The following is a 24544-nucleotide window of genomic DNA, read 5'->3' on the forward strand; positions in this document are numbered from 1 at the left end:
TCCTTCAGCCTCTCACCGTTTGAGTCTGGTTTGGGTTTTGTATACTATATGAAACAGTGTTTGAAATAAAGGTTCCTAATGAACATTTTCCTCCATGGGATACCAATCAACTGCCTGCTTTTAATTGATAATTGGGCATTAACTCCTCAGTAGTGCCATCATCATAAACCACAGTGCAGACCCTATAGTCCACCATTGAAAAATTAAGACAATTATGCAGTATTTGAACATGTCTAATCTAGGAGAGAGTAGCACCCAAGGCCGGGCACAGTGGCTCATGCCTATAATTCTAGCACTTTGGGAGGCTGAGGTGGGAGAATTGCTTGAGCCCAGCAGTTCGAGACCAGCCTGGGCAACATAGTGAGAACCCCATTGCTACAGAAAAATTTTAAAAACTTAGCTGGGCATGGTGACATGTGCCTGTAGTCCTAGCTACTCGAGAGGCAGAGGTGGGAGTATCACTTGAACCTGGGAGATCAAGGCTACTGTGATCGTGGCACTGTGCTCCAGCCTGAGTGAGAGAGTGAGACCCTGTCTCAAAAAAATAAAAGAATAGTGCCCTCATATACCTTAGTGGAAAAAATGACCAGATCTTTGGCAAAGTATGATTGCTAAAATAATAACCCACTCAGCTTACACTCCATGTGTTTCCAACAGAGAGGGATACGCACTTGATAGAAACAGAAAATTATAATCAAATAGAATTCTTCTGTTGGCAGAGCATACATATTTATACATTCTTCTGTGTTTAGCTCAGTGGTTAGAGAACACTTCCTGGAAAGACTGCAGTACACAAATGTTTTCAATTTGAGCTTGTACATTTCATCTCATTGGTCCCTGAGACAAGGTTCACTGCCCTGGAGGTGACTTGGCTCAGTCTTTAAACACACACTAATGAATTTCAGGTTTGGGACAGAAGAAGGGCTGCTCTCTATTGGACAGTCATGTGAACTTGTTTCCCCTGTATGTCTAACTTAGGTATGTAATGTCACTCTGGATAGAGGGTTCTTCTACTATGTCCGGACACAGAAAACTGATTGCCCTTGCTCAGAGCACTCCATGCTTGCCTGTGTTTAAAACTTAGGTTTGGCAGATTCCTTCATTTTTGTGAAAATAGGGCAAAGATCTTCTGAGTGCAATTGGATGTACTGGAGGGCACTTAACCTTTAGCCTGTAAAGATGGGTTTGGGCTAAGTCTGTTTTGTTTTTCCTTTCAGCTGTTTGAAGAGAAAATTCAAAGGAAAATTCATCTTTCATACTTTTTATGCTGATAGTTCTAGTAATAGTTTAGGGATTTTATCTCATCTGCTCCAGCAACACCCCACCAGAAAAATTATGGAAGTTGAGTAGCCGAATATGAAACTTGTTTTATATAGACAGGAAAGAAGCTAATGAACTCACAGACACCCCTTATCAGGACTACAAAGCCCGAGCTGTGTATTACCCCCACCCCACCCCACCCGGCGTACCTTTGGCAGTGCTTACAAAGACTTGATCCTGACTAGCTTAGAAGACAGATGCAGTTACTCAGCTTTGTACATGCCTTGCCTATATACTCAAGAGTGGGTCACAATTGTGCTGGGCCAGCAGCAGGGGGAAATGTTGATTTCATGAATTCCTTCATCAGTGGAAGGTCAGCCATGGACTGTAATTTTGTTATGGAGTGGGAGAATTTCCATTTCTGTGTGATGCTGCATTTGTCCCAGTTATGCCATTTATCATCTGCAAGGCTGTGCACAGCCTGTGCAAGCCTCCTGTCTGGACTGCGGTTCTTCCTTCCCAATTTAAGCAGCATGGGCCAGATGATCTCCTAAGGCCCTTTCTACCTTTCACAGTCTGAAGTTCAGCTTCTTCTGCATATATGAGGTTGGGGCACCAATTGCAATGGTCAGCTGGAGACTATTTGCATTATCCAGCTGATAAACTCTTCCAGCAGACAAATGTGAATAAACAGCAACACTCAAGTCCTGCATAAAGTTTGTCTTGAGTTTGCTGAAATGATCAGCAGAAATCTTGGGCGGTGAAGTGCTCCTAAGTGCTGGGCAGGAGTTGTCAGGTGACGGTGCCCTGTCAGCGCTGGATGCTTACTAGGGGTGGGGTCCTGCTTGAGATCCTGAGTTAGCTGCAGGAGATGGGTCCAGCATGCAGTTGGGCATCAGAAAGTCTTGGTTCCTCCAGGCTCCTGACTGTCCCTATCAACCCAGATGTCCTAGCCTCATAGGCTTTGGCGAGTTACCTTGCAGTTCTAAAGCTTCTGTTTGGTCATCTTTTAAATGATGATAATAACTACTTTTCAGGGTGAAAAGCTTAAAGTATGTGAAAGTATCTAGCAAATAGATGGCGCTTTATAATTAGGTGACTAAAAACAGCAATTTGTAAAAACCCCAAATAAGATAACCTTATCTGAAAGAGGGGCTCAAAAAACTGACATTTGTGTGTGAATGACATTGCATAGGACATACTGTCCTTTAATCCTTAACAACCTCATTTTACAGATACAGAGATACCAGGAAGTTCCCAGGGTCACAACACCTGGAAACAATGGAGTTGAGCTTCAAGTCTTCTGATTGGAAACTTGTGTTCCTTTTACAATATACTACCAATACACCAATATAGTTAGTACATTTTATAGTTAAATTTCTGATGATTCTGGAAAGGGAAATAAATGATCAAAATGGTAATAGTACCTGTTTTGATAGAGGAGATTTCCTTGTGCCCTTTTTATATGACTACAGCTAAATTGCCCTTTAAGACAAACCCAGGAAACCCTAGCCAGTCACTCCTCACGTTGTGGGATCTTAACCCCGAAACAGCTACTGGGGATAGCTGGAAGATTTGAATATCTCTGGGATGTCACTGTCCAGTTTCGAAATAATTTTATAAATGGGTTTCTTCCAGGAAGGATCTGAGTCTCTCCCTGCGGAGACAGCCCTGAAGAACTCCTGTAACGTCAAGCTGGCAATTTCCAAGAAGCAATCTGGAACCTGCATTTCCAAAGAGACCCACAAGAAAGAAAAGACGTGAGGTTGGGAAGCACTGGTGCCAGAGCCCTCACTAGCGGGTGCTGCCTGTTTCTTGGGTAGTGGGCTAGGAGCATCCCTGCTCTAGTGGCCCCTGATTCTGCAACCCTAGGACTCCTCTGCTTCCTCATCAGACACAAACCTTGATAAGACAGCTCCAGTGAGAAAGCCCTGGGAGAAGGTGAATTAAGGACACTTCCTTTGTAGGAGGAGCTGATCTCGCTAATGGGCGACTTTTTAACTAAGCAGGTCAGAAAATCTTACTGAAAGTAAATCTGTGGCTCAAAGAGACTTCGGTATTCTTTTCCCTAGTACTAACTGTGGAAAGGAGTGCCCCCAAGCTTCTGACTGTCATACCTCATTCCACTGCCTTTTAGGGCTGGGTCTGAAGAGCTTACACTCCTGCTTTCAGAGCTGGTTGACGGGGGTGCTGTTCTAGAATCCTAACCCAGACTGGCACCATGAATGATGGGTTGCCCCACTGCCAAGCTCCAGACCCAGCTTGGCTTGGGGCTTGCTGCCACTGCAGGTCAAATGACCACCCTATGTGGAAAGATGCAGCAGTGCTGCCTGTCCCATACTGGCCGTGACCCCTTGAGCCTCAGAAAGGGAGACATGGACAATTTTCCCCACAGGTAGTCTTAGCTTTCCAAACATACTCTGACTCACCAGTCAACCAGTGGATGACCACAGTTCTTGTATTTTTTGGAGGTATCAATAAACCACTCTTTGTGATCACAGTCAAGGGAGAAGTCAAGAAGAGGGAAGTGTAATCTGTGACCAGATATACCCGGCACCTGCAGAATCAGATGCCAGCCTAACAGCTGTCAGCTGTGCATGAGGCAACATGCATCTCTTGATTAGGAATGTGCGCCAGTGACACCTAGGCTCACCTTTCACTGACGCTTTACCTCTGAGGTGCCACCAGTGTGCCTTCATAGGGATCCCCGAGGGACTGAGCTTGAGTGTTGTTTATTGTTATTTCCAGAAAGGATTTGAGGTGACTTGCTATGGAAGGCCCACTGATACATTTTCAAGGGAAAATACAGATAAGAATCAAATCATGAAAAGCATAGAAATTGTTGAGAAAACCTAGGCCAAGACTAGGTGCCACAACTGAGCTCAGCATTCAGTCCTGAGCCTCCTGGCACTAAGGCAAAAAGGTCAGGAAGTTATGTAACTTGATAATGACAGGGTATTCAGTCTAAGATGGTGTAACACCTGGCAGCCCTCTCACTAAGCTTCAGAATGAAGACTGGCTGTTGACTCAGTTTGCTGCTTCCACCTGTTGCCCAAGTGAAGATGTTGAGGCTGTAATCTTTGTGGATGATACAGAGATTGGCCCAGGCTGCCCTGGCTCTCAGTAACTTAAGGAGACACAGAAGAGGGATCTTTCCTAAAACTCGAATCATATAGGGAAGACACTCATCAGATCTCATGGGAACCCAGTACATGGTCTTACCTCAAAGTCATTTCCCTTGTTGTAGTGCATATTGAGAGCTTGAAAAAGTTCTGAATTGCGGAGAACCACCAGCATTTTGGGATTTGTGACACCATCTGAAATTGCTTGCCGGGCAGATTTTTCCATTTGGATGTAATAAAACTCACGAAAGTTGCTGAACCACTTGATCATCTGGGAGGTAATGCAGCGGTTGAACTGTACAAACAAGAGGTCCATCCAGTCAGACATTTGCCACGAGGTGCTCAGAATTAGAACTGTCTGCTTCCAGCTCAGTATAGGGGTTCATATACGGCTTTAACCAGCATTAACAGGGGCTTCCTTTAAAAAAAGAAGCGAAGCCACCGCTATTTTCCAAGCCTATTTAGTTATACTCAGAAAAATCTAAATTAGCTACAGTGCCCATTAGAACATAACTTTTTTTTGATATGCTAGATTTATGGGGGTTGTTTTACCCATGAAAAGCTTTTTGTGGTGTTTGAGTGGGACTTAGGGGTCACGACCAGTGTGGTGCCAGATTTTGCTGCACCCAGGTGGACTGCATGGCAGGCCTGGGGCCTTCCACTTGGATAAAGGGCCAAGGGAAGGGCAAGATGTAGGTCAGGGAGCAGTTTATTAGCAACTTTGAATTGTGGAATGAATTGAAATCAAAATCAGAGGTTGCTTCAGGGATCAACCAACCAACTGAATATGAGGGAAAGAAAAGCTTGAATGATGTAGACCAAAAGTATTAACAGCCCCTAACCCAACACCCAAAGTAAAAGAGGCCCTCAGAAACCTTTTATGGGAACAGGGGAGGTCTGGTCCCAACAATTAGTTTGATTTTCCTTATTGTCACACTTCATCTGTATGTACTTTCACTCAGTTTTGAACTATAGCAATTTGAACATAAATTTGACAGTGTCTGACACTCTGTCTCTCTCTCCCTCTCTATATATATTTTTTGTTGTTTGTTTGTTTGTTTTTGTGTGTTTTTTTTTTTTTGAGATGTAGTCTCGCTTTGTCGCCCAGGCTGGAGTGCAGTGGCGTGATCTCTGTTCACTGCAACATCCACCTCCTGGGTTCAAGTGATTCTCCTGCCTCAGCCTCCGAGTAGCTGGGATTACAGGCGCACGCCACCACGCCAGCTAGTTTTTGTATTTTTAGTAGACATGGGGTTTTACCATGTTGGTCAGGCTGGTCTCGAACTCCTGACCTCAGGTCATCTGCCCACCTCGGCCTCCCAAAGTGCTGGGATTAGAGGCATGAGCCACTGTGCCTGGCCTATATTTTATTTTTCATAGTGTCCCCAGCCAAGGCAGAAAACTAGCCAAAAAGGCCACTAACTAGTGTTTCTGTTTCCCTCTACTTTTCCTGCCCATGTGTTTCTGTTTTGGGGATTATCTACAGCTCAGTAGCTTAAGAATTTAGACAGCCAGCCTTTCTAGCCTAAAGTTATTCACGGTTATTTGGGTAGAGTCTCAGCCCAGAACTGGACATTGCTTCCATCAGCAACACTAAGGGGAGCTTGAAGTGCACATATGATGACCTAGGACTTGCCTCACACCAGGCAAAACACACTGCCTCTTGGGAGTTCTGCAGAAGCTGCCATTTAGTTGAGTGACTTTACCTGAACATCAGGAAAATAAACCTTCAGGAGGTTGGAGCTGGGATATCGTGTGAAGAAAAACATTAGTTTGGCCTTCTTCAAGTGACCAGGGTTTAGACCCTCCTGGATTTATCTCAGTGTCAAGGAAAATGAACACTTTAAAATGCCAGTTTATCAATTAACTAGTGAATTCCTTGTTCCTGTGGTTTCTATTTGATTTCATTTTGTTTTTCTGATTGGAATTGTGTATTTGCTCCATTTTTCTGTCTCTGGAAACTCTGGTCAAATAAGCTGGATGACATATGTGCACAGTTAAGTCACAGAATGTAAAAATCATCTCGATGTGGAAAAGTTATGTAGCATAGATGATGTCAAATACAGGTTGGTGTATTTTGTGTGTGTGTGTGTGTGTGTGTGTGTGTGTGGTGTCTTAGATGTCAAATACAGGTTGGTGTATTGTGTGTGTGTGTGTGTGTGTGTGTGTGTGTGTGTGTGTGTGTGGTGTCCAAGTGGGATGGGAAGAGATGGCAATTCTATCCCAGATAAACCATTTCAAAACCCCAAGCAGAGATTTACTTCCCCTCTCTGCCTCAGTTTCCTCAGCTGTAAAACGAGAAGAGTAAACTAGGTGGTCCCCATTCTGGCTGTCACTCTTATCATTGCCTTCACAGTGTTGCCTTTATAACCAGCAAACATCTAAGCAGGCTGAATACCAGCTCATATTTTGCTCTTGCTCAAGAAGCTTGAATGGTTGGGTGGTACCCACTCTCCATTTGCCTGGCAGAACTATCCCTCATCTTTCAGGTCTCAGCTCAGAAGCTCCCACCTCTGTTAAACCCTTCCTTGCCAAATTAGGCCTTCCTTACCCTGGGCTATGAAGACTCTTTGTACAAACTGTTGCAGCGATGACCTTATTGGAATTTTTACTGTATGTTTGTCTCGTCTAGACTGTGAGCTCCTTGAGAGTGAGGACCTTATCTTTTCATCTTTGTGCCTAGCCCAGTGCTAGGAACATAGCAGGTGCTCAATAAATATTTGTTGTGTGAAGGAGTAAGTGAGTGAACGGTCAACCTTAATCCATACACATATATGGAAATTAGATTCCAAACTATACCTCACTCTGGGAACAGACAGATTCCTTCCCCTTTAACAAGAGTCGGAGAATTGTGATGTGACTGCCTAGCACTAGGGCAGGACGGAAATGAAAAAAAGATTTACACAAATACGCTTTGCATTTTTAGGGACAGTCCTTAGGCTGGGTGAGAAGCATTACACAGAGTAACCTGGGATCTCAGATCCGAGAGCTGTAGCTTAAGACAGTGAAGACTTCCACATAGGATGAATCTGTTTAACCAAAAGAAACCAGACCAACTGACTATGGTTATAGGTGGCCCAGGCACCTAGTTGCTGCACAGGAGATCCCTCCCTGCTGCCCCATCAGCCCCTACTTACCCTTCCTACAGATCCACAAATGCTGTGGAGAGAATCCTGGATTGGGATTCCAAAGACCCAGTTTCAGACACTGATTTTGCCATCTATTAGCTGTGTGACCTTGGGCAAGCCACTTAACTGCTCTGAGCCTCATTGCTAAGATGTGGAGTATAGTGGTTAAAGCTTGTACTTGGCCATCAGATCCCGGGTTTAAATCCTGGTTGCTCATTAGTGTGTCTTGGGACTTTGGACGAGTTAGCTCCCTTCTCTGTCTCTGCTTCTCGGATACCCGATCTTAGAGTGGATGCTTGAGAACGGTGAGATAATACAGGTCTAAACCCGTTATCTGAAATGCTGAGCCAAATGGAGTTTGGATTTCAGAATTTGTTAGCTTATAAAGATAATACGATGTGTGTACCACACATTAATTAACATCCACAGCTGAGACAGTGTATAATCCAATACATTAACATTTCTGCAGCAGAACGTATGACTATACTAAGTGGGATAAAATCTATTAATAGCCTCCAATCAGTGCAAGCCAGGTTTTGCTACCAAAAAAAAAAGATTGCATCATTCTTAGGGGGGGAAAATCATAGGGCCTGTCAAAGCTTTATGGGTTTCAGAATTGTAGCTAAGTGGTGGTGGGCACATATGTGTGAAGTGCTGGTAGCAATGCCTGCCACCGAGAAGGTGTTCTGTCAATGCTCCCCTCGTGATCTTCACATCTGCCCTACCTATGTCACAGGATGTCATGTGAATGTGAACGTTCTTTTTATGCTGTAAAGCAGCTTGCTCTCAGGTGGCTTTCATGGCCCACAGGAATAAATCTCTTGGAATATAGGCAGCAGGAATGAGGGAAGAGTTGAGGGGCCAGGGTGCTGCTAGGGGGTCCCAAGTCATTCCAAAGATAGTCAAGTACTTCACCCATGCAGCCAGTCCTGGCTTAGGTATTTCTTAGGATAGGCCCCAAACCTCCAGAAGCTCTCTGAGCCCAATCCCCAATTTAGGGGGCAGGAACAGGCACATGTAGGTGCTCAACAAATAGCAAATTCTGGGAGACTGAGGTGTTTTTGCAGCTGTCTGAATTTAATGGAGAGTCAACTAGTGGTTATCAAAGGCCCAGACAGGTAGCCTTTCTTATAAAGAAAATCTGTCTATGGTGGAATCTCTGCCTCCAAGAGTGGTGGCAAGTGAAGTGTTCTCAGCATTGGTTTTACAGTTGCTCGCTAACTTCCAGGAAAGCTTTGGGGTGTTTCCAACACTTTTGACCGGCAGGGGGCGCTCATGGCATTTAGGACACAAAGGCAGGTTCTGGCATGGTAATGAGCTGGTCCCACCCCATCCTGCTGCCCTCACAGTAGTTGCCAGGCAAAGGACACGACTGTTCCCACCTGGATATGCAACTCCATAGACTCATCAGCTTCTGGAGATTCCCCTCAAAGCTGCACACAAGAAGCAGCAGCGTGAGCACAGCTAGCTTAAAAAGCAACATCCAAAATATATTCTCAAGAACTTAAGTTCTGCAAGATGCTTGTTAGAAGTGGTCATATGGGTTTGGGGCTGTGTACATTCTCCTCTTAGAGCTTCCATTTACTCATGTTAAAGGCTCTGAGAATTCCTGCAGAAAAGAAACTATCTCAGTATTTCCCCAAGGTACTTTTTCTTCTAACTCAACAATTATTAATATCCCGAGGGTTACTCTGGGAAATACATTAAGAGAGTAGTGTCTACTTAAGGGTTGCAAAGATGATGCAATAAGATCCAGAGCCCTGCAGATCAGCCTGGGCCACTCAGGCCTCCTCATGGGGAGCCTCCTCTCCCTTCATATGCCCAGCCCCTAGTCTCCAGGCACTCCATTGCACCTTGGAAGTTGTTCCTTAAACTGGAGACCTCTGGCCGTTTCCAGCCACCTCTCTGGGTTTAATCCCCGAGGAAAACTCCTTTTCCATTTGGCCCAGAAGTTTCTTGTTCCTCATCTGCTCCCCAGGAATTATCTACACAATATAGGATTTTTGCTTGTAGAGCTATGGGGTTGGGGAGGCCATACCTTAGATGACGTCATTCCTTTGACCCTCTCCTCCTAAGTTTATGGGTGGCTGACAACCAAATTATGGATTCTTTCTTCCTTAGGGTATTCATTGTATTTCAGAAGCCTATTTGAGTCTCAAAACAAAACCCTTTTAGACCCAAAGGAATAAGTCAAGTGGCAGAACCCGATGGGTCATAGAAGAAGCTAAGTGAACCTTCCCAGGTCCTTAAATTCCAGAATGTGGTCACCACTATAAGCTGAAGGCCCAGAGCAACATTAAGAAGACCCTGAGTGATCTGTCCCCAGCTCCTCTTCAACTTTTAGTTTTCTTGTTTCTCTGCACAGTGTCAATGGTATTTTAAATTATTTATTGAAACATTGTCTCTCTCTGTTGCCCAGCTGGAGTGCAGTGGTGCAATCATAGCTCACTGTAACCTCGAACTCCCGGGCTCAAGCAATCCTCCTGCCTCAGCCTCCTGAGTAGGACTACAGGCATGGGCCATCATGTGCAGATAATTTTTTATTTTTAGAGATGGGGTCTAGCTATGTTGTGCAGGCTAGTCTTGAACACCTGTCCTCAAGTAATCCTCCCACCTTGGCCTCCCAAAGCACTGGGATTACAAGCATGAGCCACACTGCACCTGGCCAACAATGAGAACTTCAATTGCTATTAAAGGATATGTGGACCAAAGAGAAAGGCAGTGCCTCCATGACAGCATGCAGGCCTCTCTGTTCCATCTTCACCGAGGGAAGAAGGGGTAGACTTTCCAGATGGGCAGAGGTGAAAGGCAAGGGACACTGCTGCTGGCTCAGGACCAATGGTTGCGGCTTAGTAGTTCTCCAAGGTCGTAGGGCAGGCTCTGAGGAGGGGTGCCTCTGGGAAGATGAGTCCTGGGGAGGACTGCTACTCCAATGGCCATTGTTGTATCTATGACCCAGTAGCTGGCTAAGAATCTGATTTTCCTGGATGTGGGAAGGTGCAGTCAAGGGAAAGTTTGCTGGGGGATCCTGACAGGGTTTGGGGGTCATTCTTGGAGGGATAGGGTACCTAGGAGAATCTAGACGCTTGGCCAGTGATAAATTTCCTACTGGGACCCCAGCTTGTAGCTGGACCCTCCTGGGCAAGGCAGCCAAAGCAAGTGGATCTTTACAGGCCCCTCCCACAGGAGGTGAGGGCTCGCTTCTACCCTCTGCCACCTGCCCCTGGAAGCTTCTGCCCAGCTGAGTCAGGTGGCCTGGTGGATCCAATAGTACCTTTTGTAATACCGAGTCCACAGCCTGGGACACTGCCCTGGTCAGCTCTTTCCTCAGAATCTCTAGTGAAGCTGGTGCTCCAGAAGGAAGGAAACTGGGCTTCTCAGACTCTTGGTGTTTTTCTGCCCCAGAGAGGTCCTTGCTGGTACCTTGCTGGTGGTCACCGTCCACAACCCAGGGGCGAGGCCCACAGCCATTCCCCTGCTTTGCACTCAGAGGGCCTTTCCCCGTGCCACAGCCTCCTGGCCCCTGAGCTGTGTCCCTGGGCTTGGCAGCCTGTAGGATGTGCTCTTGCAGATGTCTTAGCTGTTGCTTCAGCAGATGAAGTTGTTCTCTCACACGAGGGCCCCCCTTCCTGTTGCCCTGGTCCCAGGCAGGGGCTGGCATCAGGAGGCCTTGCGGTGTGGGAAGGTTCTGCTTCCTCTTCCTCTCTCGGGCCTTCTTTGGGCAGCGTGGGCTGACCCCAGCTTGCGCATTGCCTGGCACCAGAGGATTCGGGGAGAGACACATGCCTCGGACAATGGTCTCCACTCTGGCCCTCTTTGCCTGGATGTGCTCATCACCAAACCATTCGGGGTCTGTAGGGCTGGAGCTGGGGACCTGACTCCAGGGAAACGGGGAGTCTCTATCCAGCTCTGGAGGGGATGAGCTTCTCTCGCCTTCCGTACAAGCTTCTGCTAGGTGGGAGCAGATCTGGGGCTGAGGAGAAAGCAAGATGGAGTTTGGATCCATCCCAGGCACTTGTTCAGGGCTTCAGGAATTCCTCCTCCTTATTTCCTCAGCTGGAAGTGCACCCAGAATGCGCTGGGCTTCCTCCTCTGCACTTAGAAGGGTAAAGAGCCACTGTCACTGAGGAAGGATTCAGATTCTGGGATGCCAGGGCTCATGAACCTCCTGGGCAGACTCCTGAAATTAGAGACAGGAAGAAAAGAGTACGTGTGACTTTGAACAGTCCTTTTAAAATGTGAATGTGCAAACATTCAACGCGGTCTCGTTAAAGTGTAGATTTCAATTCAGTAGATGTGGGGTGGGGCAGAGATTCTCCATTTTAAGCCAGCTCCCAGGTAATGCTGATGCTGCTGGTCTCAGAACCCCACTTTGAGGAGACTCCGAGAGTGATCTTACAGGGAGAAAAATCTTCTCCTGCTTGGGCATAACAATAAAATAATAATAATAATAATAATATCGTAGTGGCAGCCGCCTGAACAACTGGCATTATGCCAAGAACTCTACATCCATTAATTTAATTAATGTGTCATAACAGCTCCATGAGAATGTGGTCATGCCTATTGTCTACAGATAAGAAAACAAGATCAGAGAAGAAGCTACTTCCCTATGGTCATGCAGCTCGTAAGTGACAGACTGGGGTCAAACCAAGCGTTGTCTGATTCGGAGTGACTTTTCTAGTGACTAAGGGCAACAGAATCACCCAAGGCACTTCTAGAAATAGCAAATTCGGCAGGGTGCGGTGGCTCACGCCTGTAATCCCAGCACTTTGGGAGGCCGAGGCAGGCGGATCACCTGAGGTTGGGAGTTGGAGACCAGCCTAACCAACATGGAGAAACCCTGTCTCTACCAAAAGTACAAAATTAGCTGGGCGTGATGGCGGGCGCCTGTTAATCCCAGCTACTTGGGAGGCTGAGGCAGGAAAATCACTTGATCCTGCGAGGTGGAGGTTGCCATGAGCCAAGATTGCCCCGTTGCACTCCAGCCTGGGTGACAGAGCGAGACTCCATCTCAAAAAAAAAAAGCAAATTCAGGCCGGGCAAGGTAGCTCACACCTGTAATCCCAGCACTTTGGGAGGCCAGGGCGAGTGGATCACCTGAGGTCAAGAGTTTGAGACCAGCCTGGCCAACATGGTGAAACCCCATCTCTACTAAAAATAAAAAAAATTAGCTGAGTGTGGTAGCATGCGCCTGTAATCCCAGCTACTTGGGAGGCTGGGGCAGGAGAATCACTTGAACCCAGGAGGCGGAGGTTGCAGTGAGCCGAGATTGTTCCATTGCACTCCAGCCTGGGCGACAGAGTGAAACTCTGTCTTAAGAAAAAAAAGAAAAAGAAAAAAAAAAAAACACTGCCGTCCTAACTCTTGGAAAAATCAGATTACGCATTCACTGTTCAACTATTTATTGAACAACTATTTATTGAGCACCTGCTGTGTGTCGGGCCTTCTTCTGGGCTCATGGAGTGAGCAAGATCAGCATAGTCTGCCCTCCTGGAACAGGCAGTCTAGCAGGGAAAGCAGAGAATAAACAAACAAATATATTTTCAGTGTGTGATACCTGCTGTGAAGAGAAAGCACAACAAAGGGTTGGAAACTGGAGAGAGCGGTTGGGGAGAAGGAGGGAGCTATTTCAGGAAAGACTGCCTAAAGCTGTTTTATTCCCACAAAGCATCAAAGTACACTATACTCCAACCACGTCACTTGCTTTCTAACTAATAATAATCATTGAACTGGGCCGGGCGCGGTGGCTCACGCCTGTAATCCCAGCACTTTGGGAGGCTGAGGCGGGTGGATCACAGGTCACCATCCTGGCTAACATTCATGAAACCCCGTCTCTACTAAAAATACAAAAAATTAGCCAGGCGTGGTGGCGGGCGCCTATAGTCCCAGCTACTCGGGAGGCTGAGGCAGGAGAATGGCATGAATCTGGGGGGCAGAGGTTGCAGTGAGCCGAGATCACACCACTGCCCTCCAGCCTGGGCAACAGAGCGAGACTCTGTCTAAAAAAAATCATAATCATAGTAATTAAACTGGCAGAACTGATATTTTAACCAACAGGGACACTACAACGATACCCTGGATATGTTAAATTTGATATAAGTACTAGACAGACATCTAAATGTCAAGATGTCAAGAAAGCAATTGGAGACTGGGTGCAGTGGCTCATGCCTGTAATCCCAGCACTTTGGGAGGCAGAGGCGGGTGGATCACGAGGTCAGGAGTTCAAGACCAGACTGGCCAACATAGTGAAACCTTGTCTCTACTTTAAAAAATACAAAAATTAGCCGAGTGTGGTGGCGGGCACCTGTAGTCCCAGCTACTTGGGAGGCTGAGGCAGGAGAATTGTTTGAATCCAGGAGGTGGAGGTTGCAGTGAGCCAAGATCACACCACTGCACTCCAGCCTGGGTGACACAGCAAGACTCCGTCTCGAAAAACAAAAAACAAAAAACCAGAAAGCAATTGTAGAAATAAGCCTGGGGTTCAGTCAGGGAGATCTGGGCTAGAAATGTAAAATTGAGGGTGGTCAGCATGTGGCTGGATGAGGTCACGAAGGGAGTAAATGTAGACAGAGAAGGGAGGAGGGCCAAGGTCCAAGTCCTGGGACACAGGGACATGAAGAGGCTGGGGGCATGAGCTGGCATCAACCAAGGCAACTGAGAAGGAGCAGTCAGAGAGGCAGGGGGAAACCTAGGGGTGTGCGAGGTCCTGGCAACCAAGTGAAGTAAATGTTTCTAGGAGGAGGGAGAGGCCAAGTCACAAAGGGATAGTAAATTGGCCATTTGAATTAGTAATGTGGAGTCACTGGGAATCTTGATCAACAGTTTTGGTGGAGTACAGGGAGAAAAAAGCCTGATTGACGTGGATTTAAGGGAGAGGACAAGAAGAGGAGTAGGTGACATTGAATCTGACAACTCTTTCAAGGAGTTTTGTAAAGAGGACAGAAATGAGACAGTGCTGAAAGAGAAAATGGGGTCAAGAGAGAGTTTTTCAAGATAGGCAGAATAACAGCATATTTGTAGGCTGATAACAATGTTGCTGCAGAAAGATGAAATATGTTAATGTAGGCAAGAGGGGGAGAATTTCTGGAGCCATGTGCTTGAGTAGGAAGGAGGGGAAGAGATCTAGTGCACACAAGGAGGGATTGACTTTAGACAGGGGAATGCTCAGTTCATCCATGCAGCAAAAGGAAGAGCAGTGGAGGCACACCAGTACAGGCAGGTGGATAAATGTGATGGGAACTGGTGGAAATTTTCTTTTGATTGTTTCCATTTTCCCCATGACATTGCCACTGGTATTAATCTTCTAAAATGTAGCTAGCTCTGCTTATGCCCCTCTATGGAATCAAAGTCTTTGCTAGCTTCCTGTGGACTAGAAGGTTCAGATGTCTCAGCTCTTCACAAACATGGTCTCGATCTAACTCCTTTGGAGCCACTACCCTCAACAATTGCCTGTGTCCAGCTGTCCTGGACTTTGTGTTCACTGAACAGGCCAGGCTCCTTCCAGCCTCCGTGTCTTTGCATTTACATTCTCTTGGCCCGACCAGCCCTTCTCCCACTTTTCCACGGACAAACTCTTATTCCTCTTTCAAAATCCAACTGAAATGTCACTTCCTCTCTGAAGTGATCAATGCATCTTCCCCTTTGGTCTGTGAGCTCCCTCTTTGTGTTCCCAAGTAGTGCCTGACTGCCAGATGTTACCAGATGTTTGCTAACTCCATTGAATAAATTGTCCATAAATACTTCATTTATATTGATTTTTGTCTCCTCAATAGACAATACTTTATTTCAGATCTCTCTAGCACCTAGCATGGAGGCTTGTGCATGGAACAAAATCAATGCAGACAGAAAGACAGACGGGTAGATAGAGTCATTGAGGAGAAGAGCATAGAACCACTAAAGCTGCTGAATCTCCCTTGTGGGTTATTCAAGGTATTGTTTCTGAGGTTCCGTGTAGTCTGTGTGCTCCAGAAGACAGATCTACTAGGGTAACAGATGGGACCAGTGTGTTTAATGAAGCAACAATGAACAGAAATATCTTGAGGCCAGAAACTGGAAATCCAGCCAGACTCCACTGTGGCTGGGTACCCAGAGATGTTTACGCCCATGCAATCATGGAAACTCTGCCTCTGGGCTGCTGAGAAACAGGAAACCTCTGTGCTGAGGCCGGCGTGCTGCCCACAGCCCTTTATCTGGGTAAGTCTGCATGAAGCAGTGATGCTTTCTGTTTGAAAATTAGCTACTAGCACTCTCATATTCACTGATGGAGGTAGCAATTGTCATAATCCTTTAAAAATAGCTTTATTGCATCTCTTAGACGATGAAAGTAATGTAGGATCATTTTACTTCCCAAATATAGAAATGTATTAAGAGGAAAAGAAAGACACTCTAATGCCACTCCCAGAGAAAATCAGTTAAAATTTTGGTGTTCATCATTTTTGCCAAGCTCTTTTCTCCATGTACAGAGAAGTTTATAATTTCTCGTAATTATATATATATATATATATATATATATATATATATATATATATATATAAACAAAAATGGTATTATAGATATATAGTTTTATGCCTCCATTTTTAAATCTTTCATGTGGATGAATATCAATCTACAGCAACGTTGTGAAAGCTGATAATATTCCATTGTATAGATGTACCCTAATTTACTTAACAAGTTCTCCTTTGATAGATTCCTTCTTATATTTTCACTATTATAGAAGCATAGACAGGCCGGGCGCGGTGGCTCACACCTGTAATCCCAGCACTTTGGGAGGCTGAGGCAGGCGGATCACGAGGTCAGGAGATCGAGACCATCCTGGCTAACACAGTGAAACCCCGTCTCTACTAAAAAAAATACAAAAAATTAGCTGGGCATGGTGGCGGGCGCCTGTAGTCCCAGCTACTCGGGAGGCTGAGGCAGAAGAATGGCGTGAACCCAGGGGGGCGGAGCCTGCAGTGAGCCGAGATCACGCCACTGCACTCCAACCTGGGCGACAGCGAGACTCCGTCTCAAAAAAAAAAAAAATAAGATAGTATGGAGATAGATGGAGAACATAGACCCACAAATCAGACTGCCTAGACTTGAATCCCTAGAGCCACTTAGCTAAGTTTGTGACCTCTCCGTACCTCAGTTTTCTCATCAGTAAAATGGGCATAACCATAATATCTATGGTTATTGTGGAATTCACATCTGGATCCAATAAGTTAACACATGTTATATTTTTAGAACAGTTCCTGGCACTTACTTATTGCTGATAAGTTGTAGCTATTGTTATTATGAATAATATTGGGATTAACACTCCTACATATTTCTTTGGGGACTACATTTCTAGAAGTGAAAATATTGCATCAAAGGCTGAGACTACGTTAAACTGTTCTACTTCTTTTCCAACTGTCCTCCAGAAATGTACCAACTGACTGGGGGTAGAGAGGAGGGACTGAAGCAGAACCTTCAACTTTTTTTTTTTTTTTGAGATGGAGTTTAGCTCTTGTTGCCCAGGCTGAAGTGCAGTGGCGTGATCTCGGCTCACTGCAACCTCTGCCTCCCACGTTCAAGCGATTCTCCTGCCTTAGCCTCCCAAGTAGCTGGTATTACAAGCATGCACCACCACACCCGGCTAATTTTGTATTTTTAGTAGAGACAGGGTTTCTGCATGGTGGTCAGGCTGGTCTCTAACTCCCGACCTCAGGTGATCCACCCACCTTGGCCTCCCAAAGTGCTGGGATTACAAGCATGAGCCACCATGCCTGATCTCAACTTTTACTCTGTGTATTTCTATATTAATTGAATTTTTACAAGAATATATTCGTGTGTTACTTGTATATATATACTTTTAAATAGCCAATTTATGCTCCTACCAATGTATCTATAAAAGAACATACATCTCCTTATCTTTATCAACGCTGGGCATTGTCTTTTAAATCTTTGCCGTTATGGTAGGTGACAATGTTACCTCATTATGTGTATTTCTTTGATTCTCAGTAATCTTGCTCAGTTTTCATATATTTTTTGGAAATATTCATGGATTGTATATTAAGAAACTTAAAAATGTTTATACCATTTGAATCAGTGAGTCTATGTCTATGAAGTTAAGCCAAGAAAATGATGGCTAGACTCATAAATTTATGTCAAAGATGGCCATCCAAGTATTATTAATAAGAGTAGGCACTAGTTAAGGTATGGTATAATCTACATGATGCCATATTATGCAACCGTTTTGAAAAATAGTGTTTAAGTAAAGTTTATGTAACATTATTTTATAAAACTGGAGTGGGGGGGTAAGAGAAAATTAGATATTAAAAATACAAAGAAAAATATGAGGCCAGGTATGGTGGCTCATGCCTGTAATCCTAGCACTTTGGGAGGCTAAGGTGGGAGGATTGCTTGAGCTCAGGAGTTTGAGAGTAGCCCAGGCAACATGGCGAAACCCTGTTTCTCCAAAAAAAAAATCACCTGGGCATTGTGGTGGCTTGTGCCAGTAGTCTCAGCTACTAGGGAGGCTGAGGCAGGAGGATCACTGAGACCAAGAAGTTGAGGCTGCAGTGAGCTCTGATTGCGCCACTGCACTCTAGCCTGGGCAACAGAGGGAAAGCCTGCCTCAAAAAAAAAAAAAAAATACACACACACACACACACACACACACACGCCCATACATTATAGAGAAATAAATACATCAAAATGTTGTTTATGGGTAATAGAACCACAGGTAATTTTTTTCTCTATTTTTTCTTTTTATTTTTCTGAATTTTCTAAATTTTTAATGGATATGTTTTCAGTTTTGTAATGAAAAAAGGCAATCTTGCCTTTGTTAATTAAACATTTGCATGTATGGAGAAAGCTATGCATGTTGAAGGCAGGGGATATATGCGAAATCTCTGTACTTTCCATTCAATTTTGCTGTGAACCTAAAACCACTCTAAAAAATAAAGTCTAGGCCGGGCGCAGGGGCTCACGCCTGTAATCCCAGCACTTTGGGAGGCCAAGGGGAGTGGATTGCCTGAGGTCAGGAGTTCGAGACCAGTCTGGCCAACATGGTGAAACCCTGTCTCTACTAAAAATACAAAAAAATTAGCTGGGCGTGGTGGCATGCATCTGTAATCCCAGCTACTTGGGAGGCTGAGGCAGGGGAATTGCTTGAACCACGGGGGTGGAGGTTGCAGTGAGCCGAGATCAAGCCACTGCAGTCCAGCCTGGGCAACAGAGCGAGACTCCATCTCAAAAAAATAAATAAATAGATAGATAAATAAATAAAGTCTAGACAGATGTGGTGGTGCTTACCTGTAGTCTCAGCTACTCAGGAAGCTGAGGTGGGAAGACTGCTTGAGCCCAGGAGTTCAAAGCTGTAGTGTGCTACGATCATGCCAATGAATAGCCACTGCATTCCAGCCTGGGCAACAAAGTAAGACCCTGTCTCTAAAAACATAAAGTAAAATAAATAAAGTCTATTTTTTTTAAAAAAACTGCACTTTTTTCTCATTAACTCTTTCCCAGATACATATTCCTCGGTACCAGAAATAAAAAACCCCACTGGAGAAGCAAATTTAGCTACAAACACAAGCATAGAACACAGGGCTTATAAGATAACTGCGAAGGCACATAGGATTTTATAGCTGGAAAATGTAAAATGAGGGTGAGTTTGAATTTCAAGTATATAATGGACGACATAAGGCTAGATGTGGTAGCTCACGCCTGTAATCCCAGTGCTTTGGGAGGCCAAGGCTCAAGGATCACCTGAGCCCAGGAGTTCGAGACCAGCCTGGGCAACATATCAGATCCAATCTCTGCAAAAAATAGAAAAAATTAACCAGATGTGGTGGCACCTGTCTGTGGTTCCAGCTACTTGGGAGGCTGAGGTGGGAGGACCTCGAACCCAGGAGGTCGAGGCTATAGTGAGCCATGATAGCACCGCTGCACTCAGCCTGGGCAACAGAGCAAGACCCTGTCTCAAACAAACAAACAAACAAACAAGAACATACGAGAGAAGTTGTGTGTTGTCTCCTTTCAGCTTTGTGTTAGAGCACCGGGGCATGAGCTGAAAAGGAACAGCCAGTGTCTGTGGCATCATCACCTGCACAGATCACCTCCTACATGGCAGCCTTTCTCCCTGTGGGTCTATGTCCTTCCATGGAATATCCCTGGAGAGCTCCCGAAGCTCTGCCCAAGTGGGACAAAGGGGAAGGGCTGCCTATGAGGCCAGCTGAGGTGAGACTGGCAGCTCACAGGCCATGTCTCCCCTTCTGTGATGTGTACACATTTAGGGAACAGCAAACACCTTTGATGCGCTTCAGCTGGGTCACAAGAGAACCAATCAATAAAGCAAGGTGGGCTATGGAGAGTCCTTAGGTAAAAGGTACCTCGTGAAGCCCAAGAGATGCTAACTCATTCTCATCACTGTCATTGAAGCTCAAATCAGATTTATACAAGCAGTTTTATTGTTATTTCCTTGATAAAATTCCTGCCTGGTTTTTGTTGGGAAAACATGTTTTTCTTTGCAGTATTTTGTTCATTCATTTCCTAGATTCAGTTGGATTCCAACTGGACCAGCCTTGTGCTTAGTAGATGACCACCCAACGTGATTGGAAAGGTATGGAGGAAAATGCCTTATCCTGAAACAGCTGCTTTTACCTTCATCAACACTCATTATGGGATCTAAGGGCCCACCACTGGCATTTCATAATAATGATGACTTAATCACATCTGTATATGAATACATTTTTGCCTTACCCATTGTACTCCTGAACAGCCGCCCATCCAAATACTTGCCAGACAGAGCTAACTTTTGCTACTGATGAAGACTTGTTCAGGGTAGCACATCTCAAAGTCACATAGCGTTTTTATGCTTTTCAAAGGCATTTTCATATACAGCCTTGTCCTGTTTTATTCTCTATGATGAGAGGCCCCCTGCACTGTCCCCACTCTGCTACAGGTCGGAGGCCACCCATCCATCTCTGGTCCAGCCCTGAACAGGCTCTCTTCACTGCACTGGCTAATGACAGAAATGAGGAGAGGGGGTCAGACTGACAGGCCCAGGCCACACAGCCCTGTCCATCCACAGACACAGACACAATGGAGTCAGAAGCCCTGGTGGTCTGCATCAACCACTGCATGGCTGTGAACTATGGAATGATCTACCAGGTATTAGACCTGGGGGGAATCGTTAGCTATTTTTTTTTTCTTTTGAGATGGAGTCTCGCTGTGTCACCCAGGCTGGAGTGCAGTGGCGATCTTGGCTCACTGCAACCTCCACCTCCTTGGTTCAAGTGATTCTCCTGCCTCAGCCTCCCGAGTAGCTGGGACTACAGGCACGTGCCACCATGCCCAGCTAATTTTTTGTATTTTTAGTAGAGGCGGGGTTTCACCATGTTAGCCAGGATGGTCTCAATCTCCTGATCTCATGATCTGCCCGCCTTGGCCTCCCAAAATGCTGGAATTACAGTCAGTCGTGAGCCACCGCGCCCAGCCCTTTGTTAGCTCTTATGTGAACTTACACAAATTAACTCTGCCTTTTCCCCTTCAGTTTCTCTGGCTGTAAAATGGGGTTGATAACAGTCACTCTCTTAGGATTGTGGTGAGGATCACATGTGGTGGGCCTTGCATTCTCTGGTGCGGGAAATAGGCACTCCTTAAACTGGTTTCCTTTCCTCCTAGGGGGGGTTCAGGAGCCCCCACAGCCATAGAACTCCAGAGCTGGAAAGGGCTTAGGAGCATCTGGTACAGTGGCTGGTCTCCAGATTTTTATATTTTTAGATGTCAACCATTAATAAAATGAAGAGGTCTTCTGGCCCCGGCCAAGGTGCCAGTCGCCTCCTGAGATCCTGTGCCTTCAAACCCTGAGAGTCCATATTTTTAAAAAAACAAAATGAAGGAATTAAGGCTTAAGGAACTAGAGAGTCACCTGCAATAAGTGGATGGATTCGAAAAGGCCAAGCTACTTCTAGAACAGTATCCCACCAAGCTTCACATTGCAGCATGTATGCTGTATGCAATCCATAGCACTTATGATGACATTGAAAGTGAAGTTTTTGCAGATCTAGGCTGTAGTGGTGGAATGCTTAGCATGGGAACTGCAGTGTGAGGAGCAGGGTTCTGTGTTGGATTTGACAGAGATGAAGATGTATTGGAAATAGTTAATAGGAATGTGGAAGAGTTTGAGTTAACAAATATTGACATGGTTCAATGTGATGTGTGCCTGTTATCTAACAGGATGTCAAGTCATTTGATACAGTAATTATGAATCCGCCTTTTGGGACCAAAAATAATAAAGGGATAGATATGGCTTTTCTAAAGACCGCTTTGGAAATGGCAAGAACAGCAGTATATTCTTTACACAAATCCTCAGAGAACATGTTGAAAAGAAAGCTGCAGAATGGGAAATCAAGATAGATATGATTTCAGAGCTTTGGGATGACCTGCCAGCATCATACAAGTTTTTTTTTTTTTTTTTTTTGATATGGAGTCTTGCTCTATTGCCAGGCTGGAGTGCAGTGGCGTGATCTTGGCTCACTGCAACCTCTGCCTCCCGGGTTCAAGCGATTCTTCTCACTCAGCCTCCCAAGTAGCTGGGATTACAGGCGCCCACCACCGAGTCCAGCTAGTTTTTGTATTTGTAGTGGAGACAGGGTTTCACCATCTTGGCCAGGCTGGTCTTGAACTCCTGACCTCGTAATCCACCCACCTCGGCCTCCCAAAGTGCTGGGATTACAGGCGTGAGCCACCGCGCCCGGCCTATACAAATTTCCTAAAAATAAATCAGTGGGCATTGGAGTGGACCTAACTCAGTTTTCATTTTAAAAGCCCCCAAAACAAAAGTAGTTTAAAACTTATTTAAAATGAATAAAAATTGGTTTACTAAAAATAAAAAATGAAACGAAGAGGAAAGATATTGGACCAGTTTGAGAGTTACTGACATTTTATTTTGCAGGTGAAGGCACAAAAAATAAGTATACAAAAGACTACTATCTACCATCACTTTTATTTCCTCTTTAAAATTTTTTCATCTCCCTTCATGACACATGATTTTTATTTCTTAAAGAATCTTAGCTGGGCGGGGTGGCTCACGCCTGTCATCCCAGCGCTTTGGGAGGCTGAGATGGGTAGATCGCCTGAGGTCAGGAGTTTGAGACCATCCTGGCCAACATGGTGAAAACCTGTCTCTACTAAAAATACAAAAATTAGCTGGGCGTGGTGGTGCATGCCTGTAATCCCAGCTACTCAGGAGGCTGAGGCAGGGAGAATTGCTTGAACCCGGGAGGTGGAGGTTGCAGTGAGCTGAGACGTGCCATTGCACTCCAGCCTGGGCAACAGAGCAAGACTCCATCTCAAAAAAAAATAAAAAATAAATAAAATAAAATCTTAACCACTTTGTTTTTAAAAGAATAAAAGGGGGAAATGCATAATATGCAAATAAGTTTAGCTTTGCGAAAAACTCTTTACATTGTCTTTTCTCATTTTTCTAAAAACCAAGGGAAATGTCACAGGCTAGCGTTAGGGGTCCGAGGATCTTCATGACATGCCTTTACTTTATGGATGAGGAACCAGGAGCCCAGAGAGGTAAGGTGACATGCCCAAGGTCACACAGCAGCTGCAATGCCTCCTTGCTCTCTAGGAAAACACCCCTGGACATCAGAGATCCTTTCATGTGGCTGTACAAGCACTTGGGCTGGGAGTTAGGAGGTCTGGGCACTACTCCCAGTCATTGGCCCTAAAGCCGCATATTCTGCGTTTCAGCTTTTATAAAATGGAGATGATAATCATCCCTTCACTGAGAACTTGGGTGAGAATCTAATGAAAGAAGAGCTTCAAAAGGGCTCCAGAGATGCATACACAGTATTATGGAGTGAGGAATTAGGGAGTGAAATGTCTCCATGTCTATAATTTGCCTGAAAGTATTTCAGCCAACAAAAATAAGCAAATACATATGAACAATTGTTAAATCTAGGTGATGAGTATAGGGGTGGGTATTGCTATGCTACTCTGTCTACTTCTCTGCATATTTGACAATTTTCATAATGTTCCATAATTTTTTAAAAAGTACTCTGGCAAGGTAAATGGAAAGGATGATGTTACTCACAGGGAAGAGGTCCTCTGGGAGGTCCTTGTCTTGGGCTCTGTGGCCAGGTGGGGCCAACCACTCTAGAAGACGGAGCAGCCCACTCTTCACCAGCCCTGGGCAGACAGAGCCATGGTCAGGAAGTGCTTCTGGTTTCCCTGCTTCCTCTCCAGGCAGGCCGGGTGCCCGTGGCTGGGTGAGGGGAGGCTCTGGCCCCTTCTTAGCACAAGGCACTGTCTGACAGACCCAGTCTTGCTGCAGCCGCTGACTCTGGGGACAGTGGGGGCTGCTTAGCGCAGCCAACCGGCATGGGGGGCTTATGAATATGCAAATTGAGGCCAGCTGGTTGGCTGCCCCCATGCCATTTCTCAACGCCACCCCAACTCAGGTGCCCAGAAAAGCCAGCTCAGAGAGGGCCTTCCTGAAATGCCATCTCTTCTGTCTTTGCCTATGGACCACAGAGCCCTTTGAAAACTTGGGGACTGAATCACCCAGCTTCTCTCATTGCTCTGGCCTCCAGCGGGAAGCTCCTGACTTCTGCTTTCAAATTCCCCAGAGAGGCAGCTCCAATATGAACATCCTCTCCCTGTCCCTCAAGCATCCTGAGAAGACTGGAATCAGCCCAACAGCAAACCATGGCATCTCAGATCTGCAGGAAGGAGAGGCTGCGTGGTCCCTCCCTCCCACAGAGGCCTGAACACTGCTGAGGAAGCTGCTGCTGGGCCAAAAGCACCCATCCCTGACAGATCTGGGAGAACTCACTGGCCAAACCCACCTACTCCCGAATGTAACCCAAATTTTGCCTTCCCCTCCTCCTTCAGCTTGAGAAGTGGAGGGGATGTTGTGAAATACAGCAATGAAAATTAGTAAACCACAGCTCAACTCATCAACGTGGACAAATCCTCAAAATACAATGTTGACTGAAAGAAGTAAGTCACAGAGGCTGGGCTCAGTGGCTCACGCCTGTCATTCCAGCACCTTGGGAGGCT

At 45.5% G+C, this 24544-nt stretch overlaps 1 protein-coding gene, 1 long non-coding RNA gene and 1 pseudogene across 6 annotated transcripts, besides 2 other annotated features; 2 read left to right on the top strand and 1 right to left on the bottom strand.

The window, feature by feature from the left end:
- Positions 1 to 714: 714 nt before the first annotated feature.
- Positions 715 to 23827, bottom strand: PROX2 (prospero homeobox 2). Of its 5 annotated transcripts, NM_001384314.1 has the most exons (7): positions 23577 to 23827; positions 18785 to 18919; positions 12938 to 13014; positions 10212 to 11690; positions 6089 to 6196; positions 4483 to 4677; positions 715 to 2984 (listed from the first exon to the last, which is right to left on the bottom strand). In NM_001384314.1, the coding sequence occupies exons 4-7, from the start codon at positions 11514 to 11516 to the stop codon at positions 2814 to 2816; spliced, it is 1779 nt and encodes a 592-aa protein (NP_001371243.1). In that variant the 5' UTR covers positions 11517 to 11690; positions 12938 to 13014; positions 18785 to 18919; positions 23577 to 23827; the 3' UTR covers positions 715 to 2813. The 5 variants fall into 5 exon arrangements, 4 of the variants coding, with proteins under 4 accessions (NP_001371243.1, NP_001229936.1, NP_001073877.2 ...); NR_169190.1 differs by lacking the exon at positions 18785 to 18919 and having other exon boundaries at positions 4483 to 4800; NM_001243007.2 differs by lacking the exon at positions 12938 to 13014.
- Positions 2363 to 3562: an enhancer, noted in NCBI's record as "CDK7 strongly-dependent group 2 enhancer chr14:75321384-75322583 (GRCh37/hg19 assembly coordinates)". NCBI's record gives its function as "activates an origin of replication core promoter dependent on BRD2, BRD4, P300/CBP, MED14 and CDK7 cofactors, with strong dependence on CDK7, by STARR-seq in HCT116 cells {active_cell/tissue: HCT116}" and the evidence as "EXISTENCE:reporter gene assay evidence [ECO:0000049][PMID:35650434]".
- Positions 6188 to 7117, top strand: LOC124903348 (uncharacterized). Its single transcript, XR_007064269.1, has 2 exons — positions 6188 to 6448; positions 6515 to 7117. It is a non-coding gene; the product is annotated as an uncharacterized LOC124903348 (long non-coding RNA).
- METTL5P1 (METTL5 pseudogene 1) lies at positions 21282 to 21936 on the top strand (annotated as a pseudogene).
- Positions 23772 to 24271: an enhancer, noted in NCBI's record as "H3K4me1 hESC enhancer chr14:75342793-75343292 (GRCh37/hg19 assembly coordinates)". NCBI's record gives its function as "activates a minimal SCP1, AML or CMV promoter by ChIP-STARR-seq in primed H9 embryonic stem cells {active_cell/tissue: H9 hESC(primed)}" and the evidence as "EXISTENCE:reporter gene assay evidence [ECO:0000049][PMID:30033119]".

This window comes from Homo sapiens, chromosome 14 (genome assembly GCF_000001405.40).
Source record: "Homo sapiens chromosome 14, GRCh38.p14 Primary Assembly".
Lineage (NCBI taxonomy): Eukaryota > Metazoa > Chordata > Mammalia > Primates > Hominidae > Homo > Homo sapiens.